General features: G+C 47.6%; 1 protein-coding gene and 1 long non-coding RNA gene across 6 annotated transcripts in view; both read right to left on the bottom strand.

Annotated features, from left to right (window-relative positions):
* DOP1B (DOP1 leucine zipper like protein B) overlaps window positions 1-25,037 on the bottom strand; it is a 137,451-nt gene that overhangs the window by 93,327 nt on the left and 19,087 nt on the right. For 4 of the 5 annotated variants that reach the window (XR_937581.4, XR_007067795.1, NM_001320714.2 and 1 more), the window contains exons 3-4: window positions 1,697-1,878; window positions 447-617 (exon numbers count right to left, since the gene is read on the bottom strand). The exons of the other annotated variant lie outside the window; for it this stretch is intronic. Coding sequence is in view for 2 of the 4 variants with exons in the window: in NM_001320714.2 (NP_001307643.1) it covers window positions 447-617; window positions 1,697-1,878 (353 nt within the window). In the remaining 2 variants the exon portion in view is untranslated. The remainder of the gene's footprint in view (window positions 1-446; window positions 618-1,696; window positions 1,879-25,037) is intronic. 5 annotated transcript variants of the gene reach the window in all.
* LOC124905016 (uncharacterized) lies at window positions 15,791-16,984 on the bottom strand. The gene is made up of 2 exons (XR_007067855.1): window positions 16,942-16,984; window positions 15,791-16,386 (listed from the first exon to the last, which is right to left on the bottom strand). It is a non-coding gene; the product is annotated as an uncharacterized LOC124905016 (long non-coding RNA).

Genomic DNA, 25,037 nt, shown 5'->3' with positions numbered 1-25,037 from the left:
TTTGAAATCACAACCACCAAGGAAATGTGAAAGAGCAACCCGACCTCCACACCTACTGCTGCTTCCCATGTCTCTGCACTTCCTTCCCCGTGTCTTTTTTTTTTTTTTCGAGACAGAGTCTCTGTTGTCCAGGCTGGAGTGCAGTGGTGCGATCTCGGCTCACTGCAAGCTCCGCCTCCCAGGTTCACGCCATTCTCCTGCCTCAGCCTCCCGAGTAGCTGGGACTACAGACGCCCGCCACCATGCCCGGCTAAATTTTTTTATTTTTAGTAGAGGCAGGGTTTCATCGTGTTAGCCAGGATGGTCTCCATCTCCTGACCTTGTGATCCACCCACCTTGGCCTTCCAAAGTGCTGGGATTACAGGCGTGAGCCACTGCGCCCGGCCCCCTCCCCGCGTCTTATAAAGCAGTGGAGTAAACACAGCCTGGACAAGACGCCCACGCACCTGTCGGAGATCTCGGAGCCCTCTTCAAGGCCGGGCAGCAGGCCCACGATGAAGGCCTGCAGACTGGGCAGGAGCAGCTTCTGCAGTGGGAGGAAGTACTTCTCGTACAGGGTGAGCAGCACCGGCCTCACCGACACCGCCGCGTGTGCCAGGAGAGGAAATAACCCGCAGCTTCGAGAAAGAACGAGAGGGAGCGGGGCAGAAATAAGATACCCAGTCAGAAGTCCCAGGTGACAAGCCAGCCGAGGGGAGTTTTCACAAGCAAACAGCTGGCCATTTAAACTGCTGGTTTCGATGTGTGGGTATGACATGAGATGGTCACAAAACACTGTTACGTAACAAGCCAGCAATGAAGCTGTCCGCACGTTCAGATGCTAAAGTTCCCTTATAGCAAAGTCAAAATGGGGTGCTGGAGAGGATGTGGAGAAATAGGAACACTTTCACACTGTTGGTGGGACTGTTAACTAGTTCAACCATTGTGGAAGTCAGTGTGGCGATTCCTCAAGGATCTAGAACTAGAAATACCATTTGACCCAGCCATCCCGTTACTGGGTATATACCCAAAGGATTATAAATCAAACTGCTATAAAGACACATCCACACGTATATTTATTGCAACACTAGTCACAATAGCAAAGACTTGGAACCAACCCAAATGTCCATCGATGATAGACTGGATTAAGAAAATGTGGCACATATACACCATGGAATACTATGTAGCCATAAAAAAGGATGAGTTCATGTCCTTTGTAGGGACATGGATGAAGCTGGAAACCATCATTCTCAGCAAACTATCGCAAGGACAAAAAACCAAACATGGCATGTTCTCACTCATAGGTGGGGATTGAACAATGAGAACACTTGGACACAGGAAGGGGAACATCACACACTGGGGCCTGTCATGGGGTCGGGGGAGTGGGGAGGGATAGCACTAGGAGATACACCTAATGTAAATGACGAGTTAATGGGTGCAGCACACCAACATGGCACATGTATACATGTGTGACAAACCTGCACGTTGTGCATATGTACCCTAGAACTTAAATTTAAAAAAAAAAAGAAAGAAAGCAAAGTTAGGACGGATAGACTCCAGAAGGCGCCCAGTGACGTCTCCTGGTGATGGCTTTATGATAAACTGTTGCACACACAGCCCTACGCTTATTTTGCCTGTTTGTCATTTTCTCATCTTGTGAGCTGAAATACCGGTTACTTGGGTAATAAAAAGGAACACAGCAGAGAAGCAATCGCACCTGTACAGAAACAAGTCCTTGGCCAGCCATTTGGTCCCCACGATTTTAAAGATAATCTCGTAGGTTTCCAGAGCTTTTAAGTGGACACCACTGGGCAGGGCAGGGTGCAAACACTGAGCTAATCTTTTGCTGATGAGGAGCCGTCTTGGCAACAAGGAGTACCTCAGGTTACTCTGAAGAGCCTGTCAAACAAGACAAAAAAAACACATGAGGAAGAAGGCAGCGATATTTACAATGGAGAGTGGATCTGCTGAAGCCAGAGAGACTGCAGCCATGTCCCAGTGTGGCTGTAAGAAAGAGACATACACAACAAAGGGGCAGAGGGACTGCATGGCGAGAGTCCACAGCAGCTCTGGCAGCGCTGGAGATGAGGCAGGCACAAGGACTTTCTTAGTAGGTGGCCAGCTTCTCGGTCACACCTCTGAGCCCGTGATGGGTGAGGGCCGTGTGCTTCTCCATCTCAGGAAGCCATGAGTAGGGGCTCACTCAGAAGATATGGATTGGGATTAAAGCCTTCCAGGCTGTGACGCCTGACATTTCTACCAGTTGGAGATGGTGCTGGGAGGAACCCGTGTTCTCCAGGAGGAAAACAGCACCACCCCACTGGGCTGGAGCAATGGTAGTCCCAAGCTAGGCTTCCATAAGCAGGATACACGACACGTCTGCGGGAAAGCATCCCAGAGTGCTTGCTGTACCCGAGAAGCAAGGTCGAGAGTGTGAACAGATCGATGCTGTCCTTCGTGGCACAGAGTAACCATGGGCAGAACTTTGTGCGTGGGAGGCCCCTCATGGCTTAATCTTTTTTTTTCTTTTTTTTTTTTGTGAGATGCAGTCTTGCTCTGTCACCCAGGCTGGAATGCAGTGGCGCAATCTCAGCTCACTGCAACCTCTGCCTCCCAGGTTCAAGCGATTCTCCTGCCTCAGCCTCCCAAGTAGCTGGGACTACAGGTGCCCGCCACCATGCCTGACTAATTTTTTGTATTTTTAGTAGAGAAAGGGTTTCACCGCGTTAGCCAGGATGGTCTCAATCTCCTGACCTTGTGATCCACCCGCCTCGGCCTCCCAAAGTGCTAAAATTACAGATGTGATCCACTGCGCCTGGCCGGCTTAATCTTATAACACAGTGTCTGATGTTATCAGGGAATGATCTGCATAAGTAGTTCATTTGCTCACACAAATATTTACTGAAGGCCTACAGGGTAAAAGTTCACGCTTCTTTTTTTTTTTTTTTTGAGACGGAGTCTTGCTCTGTTGCCCAGGCCGGAGTGCAATGGCATGATCTTGGCTCACTGCAACCTCCACCTCCTGTACCTCCTGGGTTCAAGCGATTCTCCTTCCTCAGCCTCCTGAGTAGCTGGGATTACAGGCACACGCCACCACATCCAGCTAATTTTTTGTATTTTTAGTAGAGATGGGGTTTCACCATGTTGGCCAGACTGGTCTCGAACTCCTGACCTCAAGGGATCCACCCGCCTCGGCCTCCCAAATTGTTGGGATTACAGCCGTGAGCCACTGCATCTGGCCAAGTTCACGTTTCTTAAAAGGTCTCCCAAGCACGGCTCCAGCCTTCCTTTCACTGCCCCTTGCCTAAATGCCCTTCCGGCCACCTTGCTAACTCTTCCTCACGTGTGATTTAGCTCAGTGCCCCCATCTCAGGGAGGCAGAACAGGCCTTCCCTCTACAGTGCGAGGGCAGGGACTATCTCACTCTTCTCTGCTGTCTCCAGCACCCTGCACAGTGCCTAGAACAAAGCGGGCAGTTGGGAAGAGCATCTAAGACATGTGCAATGCCAGCTGCATTCCATCCACATCAGAATCGTGGGCCCTCAGCCTCATGACCACAGGGCCATGACAACTTTCCTCTTGTACGCAAACACTACGATCCCACCTCTAAAGCACACTCAGGTTATGCAGGACATGAAAGGAAGACAAGGAAAACAAGAATATTTTTCATCAGATATCTGTGGTCTAAGTGAATTCTCAAATTCAATAAAATGACATCTTTAAAAAAAATCAGATATGGCCAGGTGCAGTGGCTCACACCTATAATCCTGGCACTTTGGGAGGCAGAGGTGGGTGGATCACAAGGTCAGGAGTTCAAGACCAACCTGGCCAACATGATGAAACCCTGTCTCTACTAAAGACACAAAAAATTAGCCGGGCATGGTGGCGCGTGCCTATAATCCCAGCTACTCAGGAGGCTAAGGCAGGAGAATCACTTGAACCCAGGAGGCAGAGGTTGCAGTGAGCCAACTGCACTCTAGCCTGGGCGACAGGGTGAGACTCCATCTCATCTCAAAAAAAAAAAAAAATCAGATATAACTAGTGGTCATCAAAAAAGGGTTGCACTCTGTTACACAGGCTGGAGAGCAAGTGTGCGATCATGGTTCCATGCAGCTTCAACCTCCAGGTTCCAGTGATCCTCCCACCTTGGCCTCCTGAATAGCTGGGACTGCAGGTGCATGCCACCAAGCCTGGCTAATTTAAAAAGATTGTTCTGTAGAGACAAGGTCTCCCTACATTGCTCAGAATGATCAACTGGTCTCAGACTCCTGGGCTCACGCAATCCTCCTGCCTCAGCCTCCCAAAATGCTGGGATTATGGGTGTGAGCCACTGCGCCTAGCCCTTAAAACATCATTTATGAAGAATGTGATACCTTAAAACAAAGGGAATGCTAATAAAATAATGTGAAAAAATGTGCTTATGTTCCAAAAAGGAAAAAAAAAAAAAGAACAGAGGAGAGGCCACTTAACTTCCACACTGTCACAAAGGATGAAAACAGACTGACGGTAGCAGCAGAGAAGGAATGAACGTGGATAATGGATAGCAAACAGTACATTTGCTCATGGGCAATTTCAAACACATAGAACGGTCAGGCAGCCAACATCCAGCTTCACCACCAGCAATGCCCAGCCAGCCCGCAGAAAACATTTCCACGACTCCCATGGCTTACTGATCACAGGCTAACAAGCTTTCTCCATGGATTCAAGAGCAGGAGAGCTAAAAGCTGTCTTGACCTGTACCATTATTTTTGTCAAGGCAGAGTTTTCTCTTTTTAACACTACCAAATCTCATTTTTGCTCATTATACTCTAAGACTTCTGCTATTTGGGACAAAAAAGATGTTAAGTACTTCCCATGGGGAGCATCTGGGATTCCTAAGAGGTTCCCTCAGTCTGTGCACACAGCAGGATCCCTTTCTTCTGCTCTTTTGAGTATAGGCACGGCAACGTGACATACTTGGGGCCAACAAGATGAATAGAATTATGGGAGTCACTTCTGGCACAGATCTTCAAAGCCAACTCATAGCTTATCACTTCTCTTTTCCCTGCCTCTAAGATTATGGAAACACAGGTTGAGATAAAGCCCCTGAGAAATTTCAGAAAGCAGAAACTACTTTCTGATCCAGTAAGGCAGAAATAAACCATGTTGTAAAAGTCACCATGATTTGAGGATTGTTTGTTACTGTGCATAACTTTCCCTATCCTGACTGATAGATCTCTTTTCATATGAACGCAATTGCAAGGAACCACAACCACTCATTTCAAATTAATAGAACTGATTGCTATTTTTTCTCATTTACATGTGTTACCTCACTTCATTTAATGTGAAAAAGACATAGAAAAAGACACATAGCCCAGAACTGAGGCTGTAACCAGTAAAAGTGGAATGAACTTGTTCACTGTATGTTGACCATGTTTATCATGTTTTGATTTTTTGAGACAGGGTCTCACTCTGTCACCCAGACTGGAATGCAGTGGTGTGATTGCAACTCACTGCAACCTCTAACTCCCAGGCTTAAGCAATCCTCCCACCTCAGTCTCCTGAGTAGCCAGGGTTATAGGCGTGCACCACCACACCCTGCTGATTTTTTTTTTGTTTTGGGGGGATTTTTTTTTTTTTTTTTTTTTTGAGCCAGAGTCTTGTTCTGTCACCAAGGCTGGAGTGCAGTGGTGCAATCTCAGCTCACTGCAACCTCCACCTCCCAGGTTCAAGTGATTCTCCCACCTCAGCCTCCCAAGTAGCTGGGATTACAGGCATGTGCCACCACACCTGGCTAATTTTTGTATTTTTTAGTAGAGACAAGTTGAGCCACATTGGCCAGGATGGTCTTGAACTCCTGGCCACAAGTGATCTACCTGCCTTGGCCTCCCAAAGTGCTGGGATTACAGGCATGAGCCATCATGCCCAGCATCTTTGGTATTTTTTCGTAGAGATGGGATTTTGCCATGTTGCTCAGGCTGGCCTCGAACCCCTGGGCTCAATTGATCCACCTGCACTGGCCTCCCAAAGTGCTGGGATTACAGGTGTCAGCCACTGTACCCAGCCCATGTGAATAATGTGAGCAAGGCCCATCTGAGACAGGCAACTGATTTCTGTTGAAGAAAAGGTGCACTAAAGGCAAACTCAGACTGCTTATCAAGAGAGACAAGCTGCAGTTGTCTTCTTTAAAAATGCAGCAAGAAGGCTGGGTGCAGTGGCTCACGCCTGTAATCTCAGCACTTTGGGAGGCCAAGATGGGCAGATCGCCTGAGGTCAGGAGTTTGAGACCAGCCTGGCCAACATGATGAAACCCTGTCTCTACTAAAAATACAAAAATTAGCCAGGCGTGGTGGCACACGCCTGCAGTCCCAGCTACTCAGGAGGCTGAGGCAGGAGAATCACTGGAACCTGGGAGGTGGAGGTTGGAGAGAGTCGAGATTGTGCCACTGAACTCCAGCCTGAGTGACAGAGTGAGACTCTGTCTCAAAAAAAAAAAAAAAAAGAGAGAGAGAGAGAAATGCAGCAAAAGCAAAGGCAATGAACCAACAGGACTTAGAAAAATGAAGAGATATCCTTCCTTTGTGGTAAGAAAAATAAAATTAATATAACAGTGAAATATCATTTTCTTCACCCATCAGAGAGGTAAGCTTGACTCAAGCATACAGGTTCAAGCATAGAGCAGAGTGATCTAGAGATCATGAACAAAGTTAATCAAAACCAGGTCTAGATTTGGCCAGACAGAACTTGCTGGACTGCTCCTTGGAGCTGTCGTCACACAGAGATTGAGTGTTTATACACTCTACATGGAGCCTCGCACTTAACAAGTGCTTCAAAACTAAGGCTTAACAAAGCAATAAACAAAACTGAGGCTATTACTGATGCCTGGTCTAAATATGCAAGCTTGGGCACCAGAGCCACCAATTCCAGTTTCAGAATTTGCTGTTCGGGCAAATTACCTTTCTGGGCTGAAGTTTCATCTGTAAAAATGAGGACTGTGATACCTCACGAAGTTACAAGCATAAAGAGTTACCATGTATAAAGAATTTAGCATACTGCCCAGCACAAAGTAAGTAATCCACACACATGACCTCTTAGTATAATGACAAATTGAAAAATAAGCAGAATATTTAAAGATGGAGACTCCACTCTTTGTGCAGAAGCTCAGAGCTGTAGCCCAGTGGAGAAGGGAGAACCAGTTGCTTGGATCAGTGGTAAAGGCCACCATGGAGGTTCCCACTCGGGCTCCCCGCAATTCCACCTTACGAGACTTTTCCGTGATGCCCTTCAGTCTCACTGAAGGCCAGCACCAGACACAAGAGGGACAGCACATTTTTAGGGCAAACTTCTCTGGTGGATACTAATGGGGTGCAGGAAATGCTACCCCAAAATATGGTACCTGGGAAACTGAGAAAACAGCAGAAGCAGGAAGGATACTCTCACCTTCCTCCCTGTGGCAGCTCATAAAGCCTAGGCAGCTCATAAAGCCTAGGGAGATCAAGATCTCCCTCCCTTCTCCCCTGAACGCCCTGTGACAGGCGTCCTGCCCTATACCCAGAGGGAAGGAATGTCTCCCAGAGGCACCAAGAAGAACCTGAACAAACAGGCCTTGCTAAATTCCCCCCGGGGTATTCCTGAATCATCACAGCCCGCATCCAGTCATTCTACGCGACTGTCACACTTCATCAAACCCAAGCACAGAGACACAGATTGGAATCCCTGTTTCTCCAAGTCTTCATTTCTGAAGGCTCTCATGCCATGTAAAACTTAATTTGCATGCTTTTCTCTCGTTAATCTCTCTTTCGTTATAGGGGTCTCAGCCATGAACCTCGCAATGGATGAGGAAAAGATATTACTTATTCACCCCTTCAACACTGTTCTTTACAATTGCTAATGCCCTGTACCCAAAGACAACACCGGTGCCCTCGTCCAAGTACAGGACTTAGGAAAGCTTCTTTCTTAGATAAAACAGTATGAATTTCCTTGTTCTAAAGAATGAAAGTGGGGCCGGGCATGGTGGCTCATGCCTGTAATCCCAGCACTTTGGGAGGCCAAGGTGGGCAGATCAGAGGTCAGGAGATCAAGACCATCCTGGCTAACACAGTGAAACCCCATCTCCACTAAAAAAATACAAAAAATTAGCCGGGCGTGGTGGCGGGCGCCTGTAGTCCCAGCTACTCGGGAGGCTGAGGCAGGAGAATGGTGTGAACCCAGGAGGTGGAGCTTGCAGTGAGCCGAGATCGTGCCACTGCACTCCAGCCTGGGCAACAGAGTGAGACTCCATTTCAAAAAAAAAAAAGAATGAAAGTGGCTGGGCATAGTGGCTCACACCTGTAATCCCAGCACTCTGAGAGGCCAAGAAGGACAGATCACTTGAGCCTAGGAATTGGAGACCAGCCTGGGCAACATGGCAAAAACCGGCCTCTACTAAAAAAATACAAAGAAATTAGCTGGGTGTGGTGGCACATGGCTATGGTCCTAGCTACCTGGGAGGCTGAGGTGGGAGGATCACCAGAGCCCAGGAGGTTGAGGCTGCAGTGAGCTGTGATCATGCCACTGTACTCCAGCCTGGGCGACTCTTGTCTCAAAAAAAAAAAAAAAGAATGAAAATTAGTTTTTGGTAGTTTTTTTTTTTTGACAGTGTCTTGCCCTGTCACCCACAGTGGAGTGCAGTGGTGTGATCTTGGCTCACTGCAGCCTCAATCTCCCAAGCCCAGGCAATTCTCCCTCCTCAGCTTCTCGAGTAGCTGGAACTACAGGCGTATACCACCACGCCTGGCTGATTTCTATATTTTTTGTAGAGATGGGGTTTCGCCATGTTGCCCAGGCTAGTCTCAAACTCCTGAGCTTAAGCAATCCACCCACCTCAGCCTCTCAAAGTGCTGAGATTATAGGCATGAGCCACCATGCCCAGCCAAGAATGAAAGTTATCCTAAGGAGTTTGAGACTAGCCTGGGCAATTCGGTAGGACTCCATCTGGAAGTTTCTGTTTGGGAGGATGAAAAGGTTCTGGAGATGGATGGCAGGATACACAATATGAATGTACTTAATACCACTGAACTGTGCCCTTAAAAATGGTTAGAATGGTCAACTTTAGGCCATGTGTATTTTACCACAATAGCATAAAGAGAAAAGAAATAATGCTGTTTCATGGCAATTGCTCTTGCTGGCTAAGGCTGTAAGAGCCATAAACTTTTTTTTTTTTTTTGAGACAGAGTCTTACTCTGTTGCCAGGCTGGAGTGCAGTGGTGTGATCTCGGCTCACTGCAACCTCCGCCTTCCGGGTTCAAGCAATTCTCCTGCCTCCGCCTCCCAAGTAGCCAGGATTACAGGCACGTGCCACCATGCCCGGCTAATTTTTGTATTTTTAGTAGAGACGAGGTTTCACTATGTTGGCCAGATTGGTCTCGAACTCCTGACCTCAAGTGATTCACCTGCCTTGGCCTCCCAAAGTGTTGGGATTACAGGCGTGAGCCACCTCGCCCAGCCTAGCCATGAATTCTTGAGTGACACTTGCACGCCAGCCCCTCCTGGACTGAACTGACCAGAGAAGAGTGGGACTCATTTCAGCAAACCCTGAGGCAGCCCAGGGATTTGGTGCAGCTCTCTTGAGAGTGAGCTTTCAATCTTTAATTACCACAATAACTACCTTCTAGGGCTTGCAAACTCCTGATTCCCTCTTCAGGGTGTATGTGTGGGTATGTGGGTTTTTTTCTGTTTTTTGTTTTTTTTTTTTTCTGACTTGTTTTTTAAAGTTCTAGTGGGGTATGTCTTATTCTCTGACAGCGTCTTCACCCTTCCCCCAACGACACTCTTCCGCTCCCATTTGGCAATGTCGCTGACATTATGACCCACTAGCCACGGCTAGGAAAACTCCAAGGTAAGAAGTATTTGGATCCCAAGAAAGAAGCCTTGCTCTCAAATTCCTTCTAACTCTCATCTAGGAGGAGAAGCAAGAGCTCCTGCCCTCATGGTCGGTCTTGGTGACTTTTCCTTCTCTGAGCAAAAACTGGGCCACATGTCACTGTCATCCCTCTCCCGGCAGGTCCAGGGCTGCCAAGACTGGAATTAGCACAAAACAGGTGTGCCACCCTCACACTACCTTTCTCATCTCCATCCTCCATCCAGGCTTTGCCAAGAATCTTCTCCAGCAAGAAAAGCTCAGCAAACACTTCCAGGACAGTTTCACTATCCAGAAACCCAAACTGGCTGGCCAGTAAGCTTAATATACGTATCATATGAGAAATATTCTTCTGCAACTATAGAATAAATATCACAGAGAAATAGATGAACTGAGGTGGGGCACAATGGCTCACGCCTGTAATCCCACACTTTAGGAGGCCGAGGCAGGTAGATCGCTTGAGGTCAGGAGTTTGATATCAGCCTGGGCAACATGGCGAAACCCTGTCCCTACTAAAAATACAAAAATTAGCCAGGCGTAGTAGCACAGGCCTGTAATCCCAGATACTTGGGAGACTGAGGTGGGAGGATCACTTGAACCCGGGAGGCAGAGGTTGCAGTGAGCTGAGATTGCGCCACTGCACTCCAGCCTGAGTGAGAGAGCGAGACTCCATCTCGAAAAGAAAAAAAAAAGAAAGAGATGAACTGGCCAGGAAAAATGGCCATGTTTTCAAAATCACTTTTAATTTAATTAATTTATTTATTTAGAGACAGAGTCTCACTCTGTCCCCCAACACTGGAGTGCAGTGGTGCAATCTCGGCTCACTGCAACCTCCGCCTCCTGGGTTCAAGTGATTCTCCTGCCTCAGCCTCCTGAGTGGCTGAGATTACAGGCATGTGCCACCATGCCTGGCTAATTTTTATTTTTTGTATTTTTATTAGAGACGGGGTTTCACCATTTTGGCCAGGCTGGTCTCGAATTCCTGACCTCAGGCAATCTGCCTGCCTCAGCCTCCCAAAGTGCTGGGATTACAGGTGTAAGCCACTGTGCCCAGCTGAAAATCATTTTTTTTTTTTTTTTTTGAGACGGAGTATCGCTCTGTCACCCAGGTTGGAGTGCAGTAGTGTGATCTTGGCTCACTGCAACCTCCACTTCCCAGGTTCCAGCGATTCTCCTGCCTCAGTCTCCCAGGTAGCTGGGACTACAGGTGCATGCCACCACGCCCAGCTAACTTTTGTATTTTTTAGTAGAGACAGGGTTTCACCATACTGGTCAGGCTGGTCTCAAACTCCTGACCTCGTGATCCACCTGTCTCAGCCTCCCAAAGTGCTGGGATTACAGGCGTGAGCCACTGTGCCTAACCCAAAATCCCATTTTTTTTTGAGACAGAGTCTCGCTCTGTCACCCAGGCTGGAGTGTAGTGGTGTGATCTCAGCTCACTGCAACCTCCACCTCCCGGGTTCTAGCGATTCTGCTGCCTCAGCCTCCAGAGTAGCTGGGACTACAGGCGTGCACCAGCACGCCCAGCTACGGGGTTTCACCATATTGGCCAGGCCGGTCTCGAACTCCTGACCTTGTGATCCACCGTCTTGGCCTCCCAAAGTGCTGGGATTACAGGTGTAAGCCACTGCACCCAGCCTTCAAAATCACTTTTTAAAGTGCTAAAAAAATTTAAAAAGGAGAAACTGATTAAACAGGAAATTAAACTTTCTTATTTATTTCACTCAGGAACTACACTGTTCTAAAAGCATTCCTTGAGCTATAATTAGGACATAATTGTAACATTTTTGACCTCATTATATGCATAGGCTCAGTAGGCTGACCTTAAAAGAAAATACTAAAATGTTAAGTATAAAGTATGTTTGAAAAAAAAAGATTCAAACTACATCCAAGCTTAATAGAAATCAGGAAGTGTCACTGTTGCTCCACCCAAGAAAATATCTTTGTTTCCTTTGACTTTACACAACCTGACAGTATGACAGTCCCCAGGACACGGCATGATTTAGAAGCATTCTGTGTAGGGAACACGATGAAAAATTCCAAAAGGCTACACATGGACACAAGTTAATATGCTTAAAAATGGTTAAGATGGTAAATTTTATGTTATATGTATTTTACCACAATTTGTTTATATGTATTTTACCACAATTTAAAATGCTTTAAAAAAGGAGTAATTTAACCATATGGGTGGGGAGTGGACAGAATTATGTTTCATTTTTAAAACGCTTTATTTAGCCCGTAAAATAAAAATGTTAAATGTTTCCTTTAAAAGTTCCTAGAAGAGACAGTCACCCTACTTTTGCACAGAGTACAATGCTGACTTCAGAATGCCAGATGTCTTTGTCTAGAAAGAAATGTAAGTCAGCCAATTTAAAAGCACGTCTCCCACCAAGCAAACGAGGAGTTGCATTTTTCACGGTGAAACACTGACATGTCTTCCTTCTGGAAGTCAGGCATCTTTGTAAGGGTGTTCTTTTCATGCCACTGAAAGGAAGCTGCACAGTGGCACAGTGAGTCAGGGAGGCCAGGTGACACAGGCTCAAACGCTCAGTGAAGCACCTGCCAGGGGGCACTGTTAGTGCCCTTTAGACAGGACGAAAATGGAACAGACCAGCACTTGGCCAGGACTTCCCAAGTGCTCATGGTGTGGCATTCCACCTTGACTGAAATGGCATGACCCGGTTGCTTTGCCAGCTTGAGGGAGTGGCGGTGGCAAGAGATAAGCTGGAGAAACAGGCAGAAGGCAAGGCTGCCGAGAGCCATCTCAGGGAGTCGGGGTTCCACAGGTAACCAGTGAGACCAGTTTTTGTTGAACTGGGAGAGCAGTGCTGCTATAACTCCTATGTAAACAAGGAGCTTCCTTCTCTGAAAGGTCACAGCTGAAATATCATTGTGTTGTATTTACCTAAGTCAGTTGAACCCTAACAGGGCCATGCACGTGATTAATCAGCTCTCAGCATGAGTTATCCACATACCCAAATCCCAGCTTCCAATAAAGCTGCTAGCAAGGAATGGGTCACTCAGGCTAACTCCATCTTCTGCATCAGGTAAGAAGACACATTAGAATATGCTTTTTTTTTCCTTTTAAAATTTTCTTAAAATTACCATGCTGCTTGAGTAGGAGTAGAACTGAAGGCTGGGTGTATCACCTACTAGAGATTTTAAAAGCATGCTCAGAAAAAAAAGAAGCAGGCCAGGCGCAGTGGCTTACACCTGTAATCCCAGCACTTTGGGAGGCCGAGGCAGGTGAATTGCTTCAGCCCAGGAGTTCAAGACCAGCAACATGGCAAAACCCTGTCTCTATAAAAAATACAAAAATTAGCTGGGCATGTGATGTGCACCTGTAGTCCCAGCTACTTGGGAGGCTGAGGCAGGAGGATCACTTGGAACTAGGAGGTCAAGGCTGTGGGCGAGCTACGATCGCACCTCTGCACTCCAGCCTGGGCAACAAAGTGAGACCCTGTCTCAAAAATAAAATAAAAAATAAAATAAATAGGCTGGGCACAGTGGCTTATGCCTATAATCCCAGCACTTTGGGAGGCAAAGGAAGGCGGATCACCTGAGGTTGGGAGTTCAAGACCAGCCTAGCCAACATAGTGAAACCCCATCTCTACTAAAAAAAAACAAAAATTAGCCAGATGTGGTAGTGGTCTCCTGTAATCCTAGCTACTCAGGAGGCTCAGGCAGGAGAATCACTTGAACCTGGGAGGCGGAGGTTGCAGTGAGCTGAGATGGTGCCACTGCACTCCAGCCTGGGCAACAGAGCAAAACTCTTGTCGAAAGCCAGGCCTTGGCTTCAGCAATGTCATTCTCCCCACAGACGATGAATGGGCGCTGGCCACAGTCAAGCACCCTCCCCCGGGAAGGGAGGGGAGAGGAGGGGAAGGGAGGGGAGGGGAGGGGCAGGACAGCCAGCTAACCCAGGCCAGGCCTTGGGGGAAGAGCACAGTGGGTGCTTGACTGTGGCTGGCACCCACTCACCGTCTGCTGGGGGAATGACATTGCTGAAGCCAAGGCCTGAGCCCTGGCACCTTGGCAGGTTCAGAAGCTCATTTTTATCAGTTTACCCAGAGGTGGCTCTGCTGTGGAGGGAATGTTTTGCTGGCCGCCGGTCGAGCTCCTAAGACGGGCCCCGAAAGTCAATGGGAGGGGAACTGTGACAGAGGCCAGGCTCTGAGTGGCAGGCCTGGGTCCGAGTCCGGGCTCCAGCTCTCATCTGAGCAAGCCTGTCACAAGTCACCTGATAGCTCTGAGGCTCTGCTTTCTCACCCATTATTTCTGAAACCTGGAATCCTCCAAAGTCAGCACCATTCAGCCCCTTTTACTGAAGAACGAGCTGGAGCTCAGAGGTCTGCCTGCAGCTTCCCAGGTGTGCAGAGTATTTCAGGTCCGCCAGCGCCCTGCAAAGCCCACACTCCGGGGGTGGGGGTGGAACATGTAGACATGTCAGGGGAGGCTGAGGAAGTGCTGTAGGTGACCAAAAATATACCATCACCTACTCATAAGCTGGTCGTGCAGGATAAACTCAAAAAGGAGCTGAAACATACAGGGTATTCATTCTATTTCCACTTCCCCAGTGTGTCAGGGTTAACACTGGATATGCGTACACATGTCCACACATGCAGGCACACAAATACATACATACATACTTCCCATACATATACACACACACACCCTCTACACATGCATACATGTACACACATGCACACACTCCACACATACACACTGCATACATATACACACATGCATACACACATCCCACACGTGTACACATACACAAGTCATGAGCAATAGGGCCTGTCAGCCACACAGGCTGCTCCCAATCTCTTAGTTAAGATGACTCAAGAATCCACATGCTAGATCAGAAAATTACTTCTTTTTTTTTTTGTGAGACGAAGTCTCGTTCTGTTGCCCAGGCTGGAGTGCAGTGGCGCAATCTTAGCTCACTGCAACCTCTGCCTCCTGGGTTCAAGAAATTCTCATGCCTCAGCCTCCCAAGTAGCTGGGATTACAGGCGCCCGCCACCACGCCCAGCTAATTTTTGTATTTTTAGTAGAAACAAGGTTTCACCACGTTGGCCAGGCTGGTCTCAAACTCCTGACCTCAAGTGATCCACCTGCCTTGGCCACCCAAAGTGCTGGGATTACAGGTGTGAGCCACCACGCCCGGCCCAGAAAATTACTTTTTAAAACACAAGGCAACAAACTCACCGCTGCCTCACAGCGGGTAATCTGCAGCACACATGTGCAAATGCTGCCCCTTATTTTTCCCCGTCAGAGTTTATTATGACACTTAGACTCAAAGCCACTCTGTCTTGCCACTAACGCCTACTTTCCCTGTCTTCCCATAGAGGAAGTTTAGGTAGCTGTGATGCTGTACAGTACCTTCCGCATTTCTAGACTTATATTTTATTCTTTTGCGATGGCACAGCACTTCCTCAGCCTTCCCTGACATTGTTACATGTTGCCCTCAACCCTGGAGTGTGGGCTTCACAAGGCGCTGGCCGACCTGAAATACTCGTCATACACCTGGGAAGCTGCAAGCAAGCCTTTGAACTCCAGTTTCTTCATCAGTAGAAGAGGCTGAGTGGCACTGAGTTTGGAGGATCCTAGGTTTGAAAAACAATGGTGGCAAGCATATAATAGGGGCTCACAAAGGAAACTGTTCTATTTGGGGGGTCTAAGAGCTAACAGTCTCAGAAGTGATGAAAAATGGCAGGAGGAGGTGAAGGCAGCTGAGTTCTGCAATAAACCACAGGAAAAGAAGGTAAGGATGTGGGGCCGACTCTCCCTTCAGAACACAGTCTACACCTTGAAATGTACATGATGCAGAGAACACTGCCATTCTTATGCATTTATCATCACAAACCAGAAAATCAAATAAAAGTAATCATACCATTAAAAATATAAAATAACATAGTATCGGGAGATGTTATTTTTCTAATTTTTAAACATATTTTATTGCACATACAAATGATCTGTTTAACAAACACCAAAGCTTATAGGGAAACCTGCTTGTTAAAGTCAGAGACAGAAGAAAAGGAAGAACGCCTTCGGGACACAGTCTTACTACAAATCCTCAACAGGTTTCAGTCCCCAAAGTTCTACTGGTAGAACTCAATATTCTTCAAAAGTCACACCCAGAACAGAACTGGCATGCTCTAATGAAATGAGATGTTAACTCCTCCTCCCCAGCGCCTTCTTCTAGAGAACTCCCAGAGGCCTTCCTGACCCTCAGCGCTACAGCAGATTGGGCGCAGAGTGGCTGTTCAGAGCTCCAGGCTCAACCTCCCACAGCGATCCTGTTCCCCGCAGCCCGCAGAGCCTCCCACACCTGAAGCGCACGTGGGCTGCCTGCTGGGTCAGCACTTGCTGCGTATGCCGGGCAGCCTGAGCACCAAGGAGGGGAACGCAGAGCCTCAGGCCGGCAGCGAAGCACACAGCTCTCCACGATAGCCTGTTCTGAATCCAGTCTGCGGTCTTCCTCCTAGTGCTTTTTCCTCCTGCTTCCCTGTCCCTGGAATAAGCTACCTGCACGGAAGCAGGAGACCTGTGAAAGAACCATCTCTCGGCAGCTGGGTGGGAAGGGGCCGCAACAGTGTATACAGGGGCTGGGCACGGTGGCTCATGCCTATGATCCCAGCACTCTGGGAGGCCGAGGTGGGTGGATCACTTGAGGTCAGGAGTTCAAGACCAGCCTGGGCAACATAGCGAAACCCGCCTCTACTAAAAATACAAAAATTAGGCCGGGCGTGGTGGCTCACACCTGTAATCGCAGCACTCTGGGAGACCAAGGCAGGTGGATCACCTGAGGTCGGGAGTTTGAGACCAGCCTGACCAACATGGTGAAATCCCATCTCTAATAAAAATACAAAAATTAGCCAGGTGTGGTGGTGCACATCTGTAATCCCAGCTACTTGGGAGGCTGAGGCAGGAGAATCACTTGAACCTGGGAGCCGGAGGTTGCAGTGAGCCAAGATCACGCCACTGCACTCCAGCCTGGACGACAGAGTATGACTCTGTCTCAAAAAAAGATAAAATAGAAAAAGCAAAAAACAAAAATTAACCAGGCGTGGTGGCACGCACCTGTAGTCCCAGCTACTCGGGAAGCTGAGGCAGGAGAATAGCTTGAACCTGGGAGGCAGAGGTTGCAGTGAGTTGAGACTGCACCACTGCACTCCAGCCTGGGCGACAGAGTGAGACGCCATCTAAAAAAAAAAAAAAAAGAAACCATGTACACAGGAAATGTGAAGATGGCATGAAAGCTGGGCTATCTCCAGATACATTCAAGCCCAAAGCTGACTCCTCTCTCCAAAAGGCAGCAGCTATACAACTCTGTCCCGGGCACTCAGAACAAAGAGGCAGAGTGCTGTGGCTGGCAGAGGCGGCAGGTGCTGGAAGCACACGACCCCCTCCAAAACACAACAAAGGTTCCGTAGTTGGAATGGTGCCTCCGCCATGGGGAGACAGAAGGTCCTCTGCAACTGCTCTGTAGGCGTCCTGCTCCCAGCCAGAAACCACTCCAACAGCTGCAAGACACTGCATCTTTTAAGGATGCACAAAATACCTTTACTGTCAACAGACAAGTACGTCCACGTCAGCCTGCAGAAGAAACAGGCTCTGGCTCTCGGGTTGAGGATGGTCCAGGGTTGTGAGCTCAGCTAGGACATGTGTGGCTGTAAAGAACAGACCATCAAGCCATACAGGTTTAAATGAAGCAATGTATTGCCTCACAAAACCAAAGGTCTACAGCAGTGGTTCTCAACTGGGGAAATTTTGCCCCCAGGGGACATTTGGCAATGTGTGGAAACATTTCTGGCTGTTACAACTTTGGGTGGAGGAGGGGGTGATACTGGCATCTACTGGACAGAAGTCAGGGAGGCCAGGATGGGAATAAGCATCCTACAGAGAGCTGGGCACAGTGGCGCGCACCTGTGATCCCAGCTACTCAGGAGGCGAAGGCGAGAGGATTGTGTGAGGCTGTAGTGAGCTATGACTGCATCTGTAAACAGCTCCTGCACTCTGGCCTGGGCAACATAGTGAGACCCTGCCTCTTAAACAAAAGAAAACATCCTACAGTGCACAGACCACCACCCACCCGCAGCCAGAATGTCTGCCATGCCACAGCATGCCAAGGCTGGGAAACCAGGGCTAAAGGAGCTCATTTCTGCATTTGGTTCCTGCAAGGGCTCAGTGACATCCCCAAAAGATCCAAGCATTCTGGTGCCTTACATGCTGTCAATGATGAATTGACTCTTCTTTTTTAGACAAGGTCTTGCTCTGTTGCCCAGGCTAGAGGACAGTTGTGCAAACATGGCTCACTGTGGCCTCAACCTTGTGGGCTCAAGCAATTCTCCTGCCTCAACCTCCCAACTAGCTGGGACCACAGGTACACACCGTCACACCTGGCTAACTTTAACTTTTTTTGTAGAGATGGGGTCTGGCTATGTTGCTCAGGCTGGTCTCAAACTCCTGGCCTCAAGCTGTCCTCCCGCCTCAGCCAAGTGCTGGGATTATAGATGTGAACCAGCACGCCCTGCCAGTGAATTGACTCTTAACCTATCTTTCCCTGTCGTGGCAGTGTGTGTTCCTTTTTGTCTCTTTGTATGAGAAAAAAACCTTTCCAGAAGCCACCCTGCAGCCTTCCCGCCATATCTCATTGGGCTAGAGCAGGTCATGTGCCCACCTCGAAATTAATCCCTGCCAAGGAAAGCAGGATTTTTAGGATGAAGTCCTAGAACAATAACATTTACTGCTGGGGCCCCCACCCTGCAGCGCATCACCACCTGATCCCCAAATATAACTGGGGTTCTCTATTGGCAAGAAAGAAGAGGGCAGAATGGTTATCGGTGGGTAACCAGTGCATCTGCCCCAATCTCAGAAATGGTGAGTCTGAACATGACCCCAGGTGCTCCAATTCCGGGCTCCTTCCTGCATTCCACAAATCGGAATTAGATTATCCTCCAACATATTTGCTTCCCAGGCACATCCTAGGCATTGGGAAAATCTAGCCTAAGTACAAGAATGACCCCCAAACACAAGAGTAATATATAAGGCAGAACTGTGATGCTTGGTAAAAAGCAATTCAATACTTTACATGTTGATCAGGTAATGAAATGACATGCCTTTCTTGCCATATAAAGATAAGTAGTTATTAAAGTTAGTAACCAAGGAATAAACTGATCCTTTATGACACAAGAAACAGAGGGAGGTCACAGGGTAGAGATGATGGTGAAACACTACAGACCCTTCCATTAAATGGAAGGTGAGTGCAGGCACTGGGCCCAGCCCACCCAAATCACGGCTCCCTTCTTCTTCAGTTAGGGCTGCAGCTGGGCCATGGCTGCCCAGTCTCCCTGGGAGGCATGGGTGGACATAACACGTGCCATCAGGACCTGGCTGGTTAAAACCTCAGTATGTGTGCTTCTCTGTGTCCTTCCCTTTTCCTGTGGGACAGAATGGCAATGAAAAGAGGAACTGTGAAAGCCACGTGTTCAAGAAGACAAGAGTCCTGGGCCGGGCGTGGTGGCTCATGCCTGTAATCCCAGCACTTTGGGAGGCTGAGGGGGGTGGATCACATGAGGTCAGGAGTTCATGACCAGCCTGGTCAACATGGTGAAACCCCGTCTCTACTAAAAATACAAAAATTAGCCGGGCGTGGTGGCACACGCCTGTAATCCCAGCTACTCGGGAGGCTGAGGCAGGAGAATTGCTTGAGCCTGGGAGACGGAGGTTGCAGTGAGCCAAGATCGTGCCACTGCACTCTAGCCTGACTGACAGAGCAAGACACTGTCTCAAAAAAAAAAAAAAGAAGACAGAGTCCTAGCTTGAGTTTCTGGAATGACCGTGTAGAAGAGAGCTGCCCACCCATCTGAATAACATGCTTAACTGATACATGAGTGAGGATAAACTTCAATTACATCGAGGACATTGATTTTGGACTTCTTTGTTATAGCAGCCAACATTACCGTGGTTAACACACTGATAGCAACATTGCTATTCAACACTGTTCCAGGAAATGCTAGCAAAATATTAGAAAAAAATACAAATCAGTATTGGTTGACGGTATACCTGTCTACCTGAGGAAAATAATCCCATTCACAATAGCAAAAACACATGTATAAAATACTTAATATACTTGAGGAACAGGAAGGTCTTATTTAAGAAGAACTCTTAAGGACATAAGTGAATACTTTTTTTTTTTTTTGAGACACAGTCTCACTCTGTCTGACAACCCAGGCTGGAATGCAGTGGCATAATCTCGGCTCATTGCAACCTCCGCCTCATGGGTTCAAGCGATTCTCATGCCTCAGTCTCTCAAGTAGCTGGGATTACAGGTGCACGCCACTATGCCCAGCTATTTTTTGTATTTTTAGTAGAGATGGGGTTTTGCCATGTTGGCCAGGCTGGTCTCGAACTCCTGACCTCAGGTGATCCCCCCGCCTCGGCCTCCCAGTATGCTGGGATTACAGGCATGAGCCACTGTGCCCAGCCACAATTTTTTTTCTTTTTTTGAGACCGAGTTTCACTCTTGCCCAGGCTGGAGCGCCGTCTATTGCCCAGGCCTGATCTCAGCTCACTGTGACCTCTGCCTCCTGGGTTCAAGTGATTCTCCTGCCTCAGCCTCCCAAGTAGCTAGGACTAACAGGTGTGCGCCACCACACCCAGCTAATTTTTTGTATTTTTGGTAAAGATGAGGTTTCACCATGTTGGCCAGGCTGGTCTTGAACTCCTGACCTCAGGTGATCTGCCTGCCTCAGCCTCCCAAAGCCCTGGGATTACAGGCATGAGCCACCGCGGCCAGCAAAGTGAGTACATTTTAATGAATGATGGAAACTACCACATTTCTATATGGAAGGGCCCAAGTGTGTAAAGATGTCACTTCTTCCCAGAATAATCTAAATTGTTATTACCTATAATGGTTAATATCAATAACCCCCTCTAGTTTTTTTTTAACTTTATAAATTATCCTAATGTTCCCAACATGGGAATAGTGGAGAAATTCTGGAATCAGAAGAGTGACAAGATTGGGATAGAGAATGTGGTCCTGCTAGATAAACACATGACAAAGTACAGCAGGTGACAGGCTGTGGCTCTGGCATCTGTGCAGGCAGAGGAGAGGGGCAAAGGCAGGCCAGCACATACCCCTGTGTCCAGAGGCTTCACTGTACGTCCACTGACCCAGCTACTCCACCTCTAGCAATTTATCTTAACAAAAATAGCCACGTGCGTAAAGATGTTCATTACAGCTTTATTCAGAGTCGTGAAAAACTGGAAATACACTAGTCCTACAATAAGGGGCTTCGAGATCTTGTCCACTCCTATACAGTACCCCCTCCCTTTCTCTCACACACACACAAGATTGAGTGGGCTATATGTAAACTGTTCGCCTGTCCTTTCTTCCCCCTTATTTATAATAAGCATTTTTCATGTTAGTAACTACCAGTCTACTTGGTTCCATGGCTGTGTGTGCATTATATTGTCGTTCCATGACTCACTTCACAACTACTCCCCTACCAGGGGTGGTCACTCCCAATTTTTTGCTATTACCTACAATAAAACAGTGAAGATTCTTACAGTGATCTTTATGTTATGTGTCTATGGAATTAAAACAAAGTTACAATGACCACTTACTGATTTTCTAATCATCTGTCATGTACAAAATGCAAAAGCCACAATAAGAGAGTATTACACTCTCATTAAAATGACCAAAGTGAAAAAGACTGACCATACCAAGTGTTGAAGAGGATGGGGGAGAACTGGAGCTTTCATACACTGCAGCTGGGAATGTAAAATGATACAACCACTTTGGCAAACAGTTTGGCAGCTTCTTAAAAAATTAAACATATACCTACTGGAAGCAACCCAAATGTCCACTAATGGGAAATGGATAAAGAAATTGTATATATCCATGGACTCTTACTCAGCAGTAAAAAAGAAGGAAACTTTGATGTACACAACAGCCTGAATGACTCTCGAAGTAGCTTTGCTGAGTGAAAGAAGCCAGACCAGAAAAGGAGAGAGACGGCACATACTGTGGGATTCCATTTATATAAACTTTCAGAAAATGCAAACAAATCTATGGTGACAGAAAACAGATCAGTGGTTGTCTGGGGACAAGGGAGGGAGGGAGACGACAAAAGGACAGGAGGAAACTTCTGGGGGTGACAGATCCATGCTCATTGTCTTGATTGTGGTGATGGTTTCACAGGGATAAACGTTATGTCAAAACTCTTTAAATTATACACTTCTAAATGCTTGCAGTTTATTGTATGCCCAATAAAGTTGGAAAGAAATTTAAAAGGAAAAGACTATTTTTAAAAGATAGGTAAATGGGAATGCCTGTATGTGACTCAAATACAAGCTTGAATGTTGGTATTCCTGTTCAAACAGTTGCTTTTTTTCTGAAAAATACAAGTTTAACTTAGTTCCTTCTGTATTAGTTGGCCCAGGCTGCCATAACAAAATACCACAGAGTGGGCGGCTTAAACAACAGAAATTTACTTCTCCCAGTTCTGTAGGTTGGGAGTCCGCAATCAAGGTGCCAGCAGTTTCAGCTCTCTTCCTGGCTTGCAGACAGCCATCTCCTCACTGTGTCCTCACATGGTGGGAGGTGGGAGGAAGTCTGTCTCTTCCTCTTCCTTTTTTTTTTTTTCTTAAGAGACTCCTGGACTCAAGCAAACCTCCCACCTCAGCCTCCCAAGTAGCTGAGACTACAGGTGCATGCTACCACACCAGGCTAATTTTGTTTGTTCGTTTGTTTTTGTAGAGATGGGGTTTCCCCATGTTGTCCAGGCTGGTCTCAAACTCCTGGGCTCAAGTGATCCACCTGCCTTAGCCTCCCAAAGTCCTGAGAGTACAAGTGTGAGCCACTGTGCCTGCCCTCCTCCTATTCTTATAAGGCCACAGTCCTATTAAATTAGGGTCTCATCCTCATGACCTCATTTAACCTAAACCATCTGCCAAAGATCCTACCTTGATATACAGCTACACTGGGGTTAAGACTTCAGCATATGAGTTTGAGGGGAGAAGGAGAAACACAATTCAGTCCACAGCACCTTCCACACCAAGGCGTGACATGGAGTTTCTAGCTCCTAACTTTCTTGGGAGAATTTATATAGTGTAGGTGGGTCACAAACCCTTTCCCTTATCTATAAACTCAATTCTGTTAGATTGCTGGATATTTTAGTCTATTTTCTGTTGCTTATAACAGAATACCTGAAACTGGGTCATTTATAAAGAAAATAAATTTACTTTTTACAGTTACAGAGGCCAAGCTCAAGGGGCTGCATCTGGTGAGGGCCTTCTTGCTGGTGGAGACTCTCTGCAGAGTCCCGAAGTGGTGTGGGATATCACATGGCAAGGAGGCCGAGCATGCTAATGCTAGCTCAGGCCTCTCTTCCTCTTCTTATTTAGCTACCAGTTCCTCACCCAGGATAACCTATCAATGCATTAATCCATACGTCGAGTAACTCATTTATGAGAACAGAGCCCTCATGGTCTGGTCACCTTTTAAAGGCCCCCCCAACCCCAATATTGTCAAATTGGGGTTAAGTTTCAGCATGGACTTTGGAAGAGCCATTCAAATCACAGCACTGGAGGAATAATTCATCTCTAAATCTGGACTACCTCCAGCCCCACAGCAGACCTGAAAGGAAGAATGGCAAAAATATTCCTTCACTCAAACACAAAGTAAATAGACTATCCTGGCTACAAATTATCGAAAAGCATATCAGACTCTTTTCAGCAAAGAGAAATGCTCTTTTCAAAAAGACCATCTCGATCTTACAGTGTGAGTGGCCCTCACTGAGGCTGCTGTGAAGCCTGGGGTAGCAGTGCTCTTGAACACCCTCAGCTCCTTCAGATAACCTGGGGTAAGGGGTGAAGCTGCAACATCATCAGAGCCCCAGCATGGCACCCACAACAGAACGACAGCAAAGGATTCAGCAGCCTTTGCCACACCTTAGAAATGGGAGTTAGGACTGGGCACGGTGGCTCACGCCTGTAATCCCAGCACTTTGGGAGGTCGAGGCAGGCGGATCACCTGAGGTCAGGAGTTCAAGACCAGTCTGGCGAAACCCTGTCTCTACAAAAAATACAAAAAAAATTAGCCAGGTGTGGTGGCGCATGCCTGTGATCCCAGCTACTCAGGAGCCTGGGGCAGGAGAATCACTTGAACCTGGGAGGTGGAGGTTGTAGTGAGCCAAGATTGGGTCACTGCACTCCAGCCTGGGTGACAGAGTGAGACTCTGTCTCAAAAAAGAAAAGAAAGGGGAGGGGAGGGAAAAAAACGGGAGTTGGATCTGCATCTTCTAAATACTGGTGCCAAGAGCATCAGGACACTGCCAGAGACAAATGGATGCTGGGCTGGCCCCTCTCCTGCAGAGGTACAGGATCTAGTTTAACGTGAAGCCAGTCAAGAATTCCCATCAACAGCATCCTTTCCATTTGGTGTCTTCTCAGAAGGCAATTCAGGCCCTTATCATTCCACGATGACCCTGGCCCTGCACTTACCTGGCCACCTCCACCCTCACGGTCATAGCCACAGAGGTCATCAGAACAAAGGTTGCTAGAAAATGGCTAAAATCATAGCCCCAAATTTAGGTGTCACGCTCTAACAGAGGATGCCCTACAAGTGAGATGCTGAGATGAAACCAGGCACCCTGCAGGCTGAAAGATGCAGCTCATACACAAGGAGGCTGGCAGGGCTCGTAGCCTTGTTCTAGGCACTGAGCATGCAGGGTCTGGCCAGCAGGGATAAGGAGTGCAGAGTCAACTGTGGCAGCAGCACCAAGGCTCCAGTGGGGGAGGAAGGCTGAAAGGGCCACCCCCAGCAGACATGTAGGATACCCCCACAATGCAGTGCCCCATAAATAAGCTGGTGCAGAGCTCTTGGCATGCGGTGGAGGGGGCACAAATCACCTGGAACGCTTTCCTGACTCAGCAGTTCTGGGTGCTTAACTGTATCACCACACACACACACACACACACACACGCACACACACCCCAAAGTCGAAGCTCCTCACTGGGCTCCTGGATCAAGAACAAGACTAAAGAAATCACACTTCCTCTGTTCCTCCACAAGGTGTGTGATAAAAGACCATCTGGGCTTCTACCAGAGATCAGCTTTGTAAACAGGTGACAGGTGGAGAGACAGCCTGCACCTCCTCATCACATTCTGT

The sequence above is a fragment of the Homo sapiens genome, chromosome 21 (assembly GCF_000001405.40).
Source record: "Homo sapiens chromosome 21, GRCh38.p14 Primary Assembly".
Lineage (NCBI taxonomy): Eukaryota > Metazoa > Chordata > Mammalia > Primates > Hominidae > Homo > Homo sapiens.
Note: the sequence above shows the minus strand (reverse complement) of the source record. Positions and strands in the feature narration are given on the sequence as shown.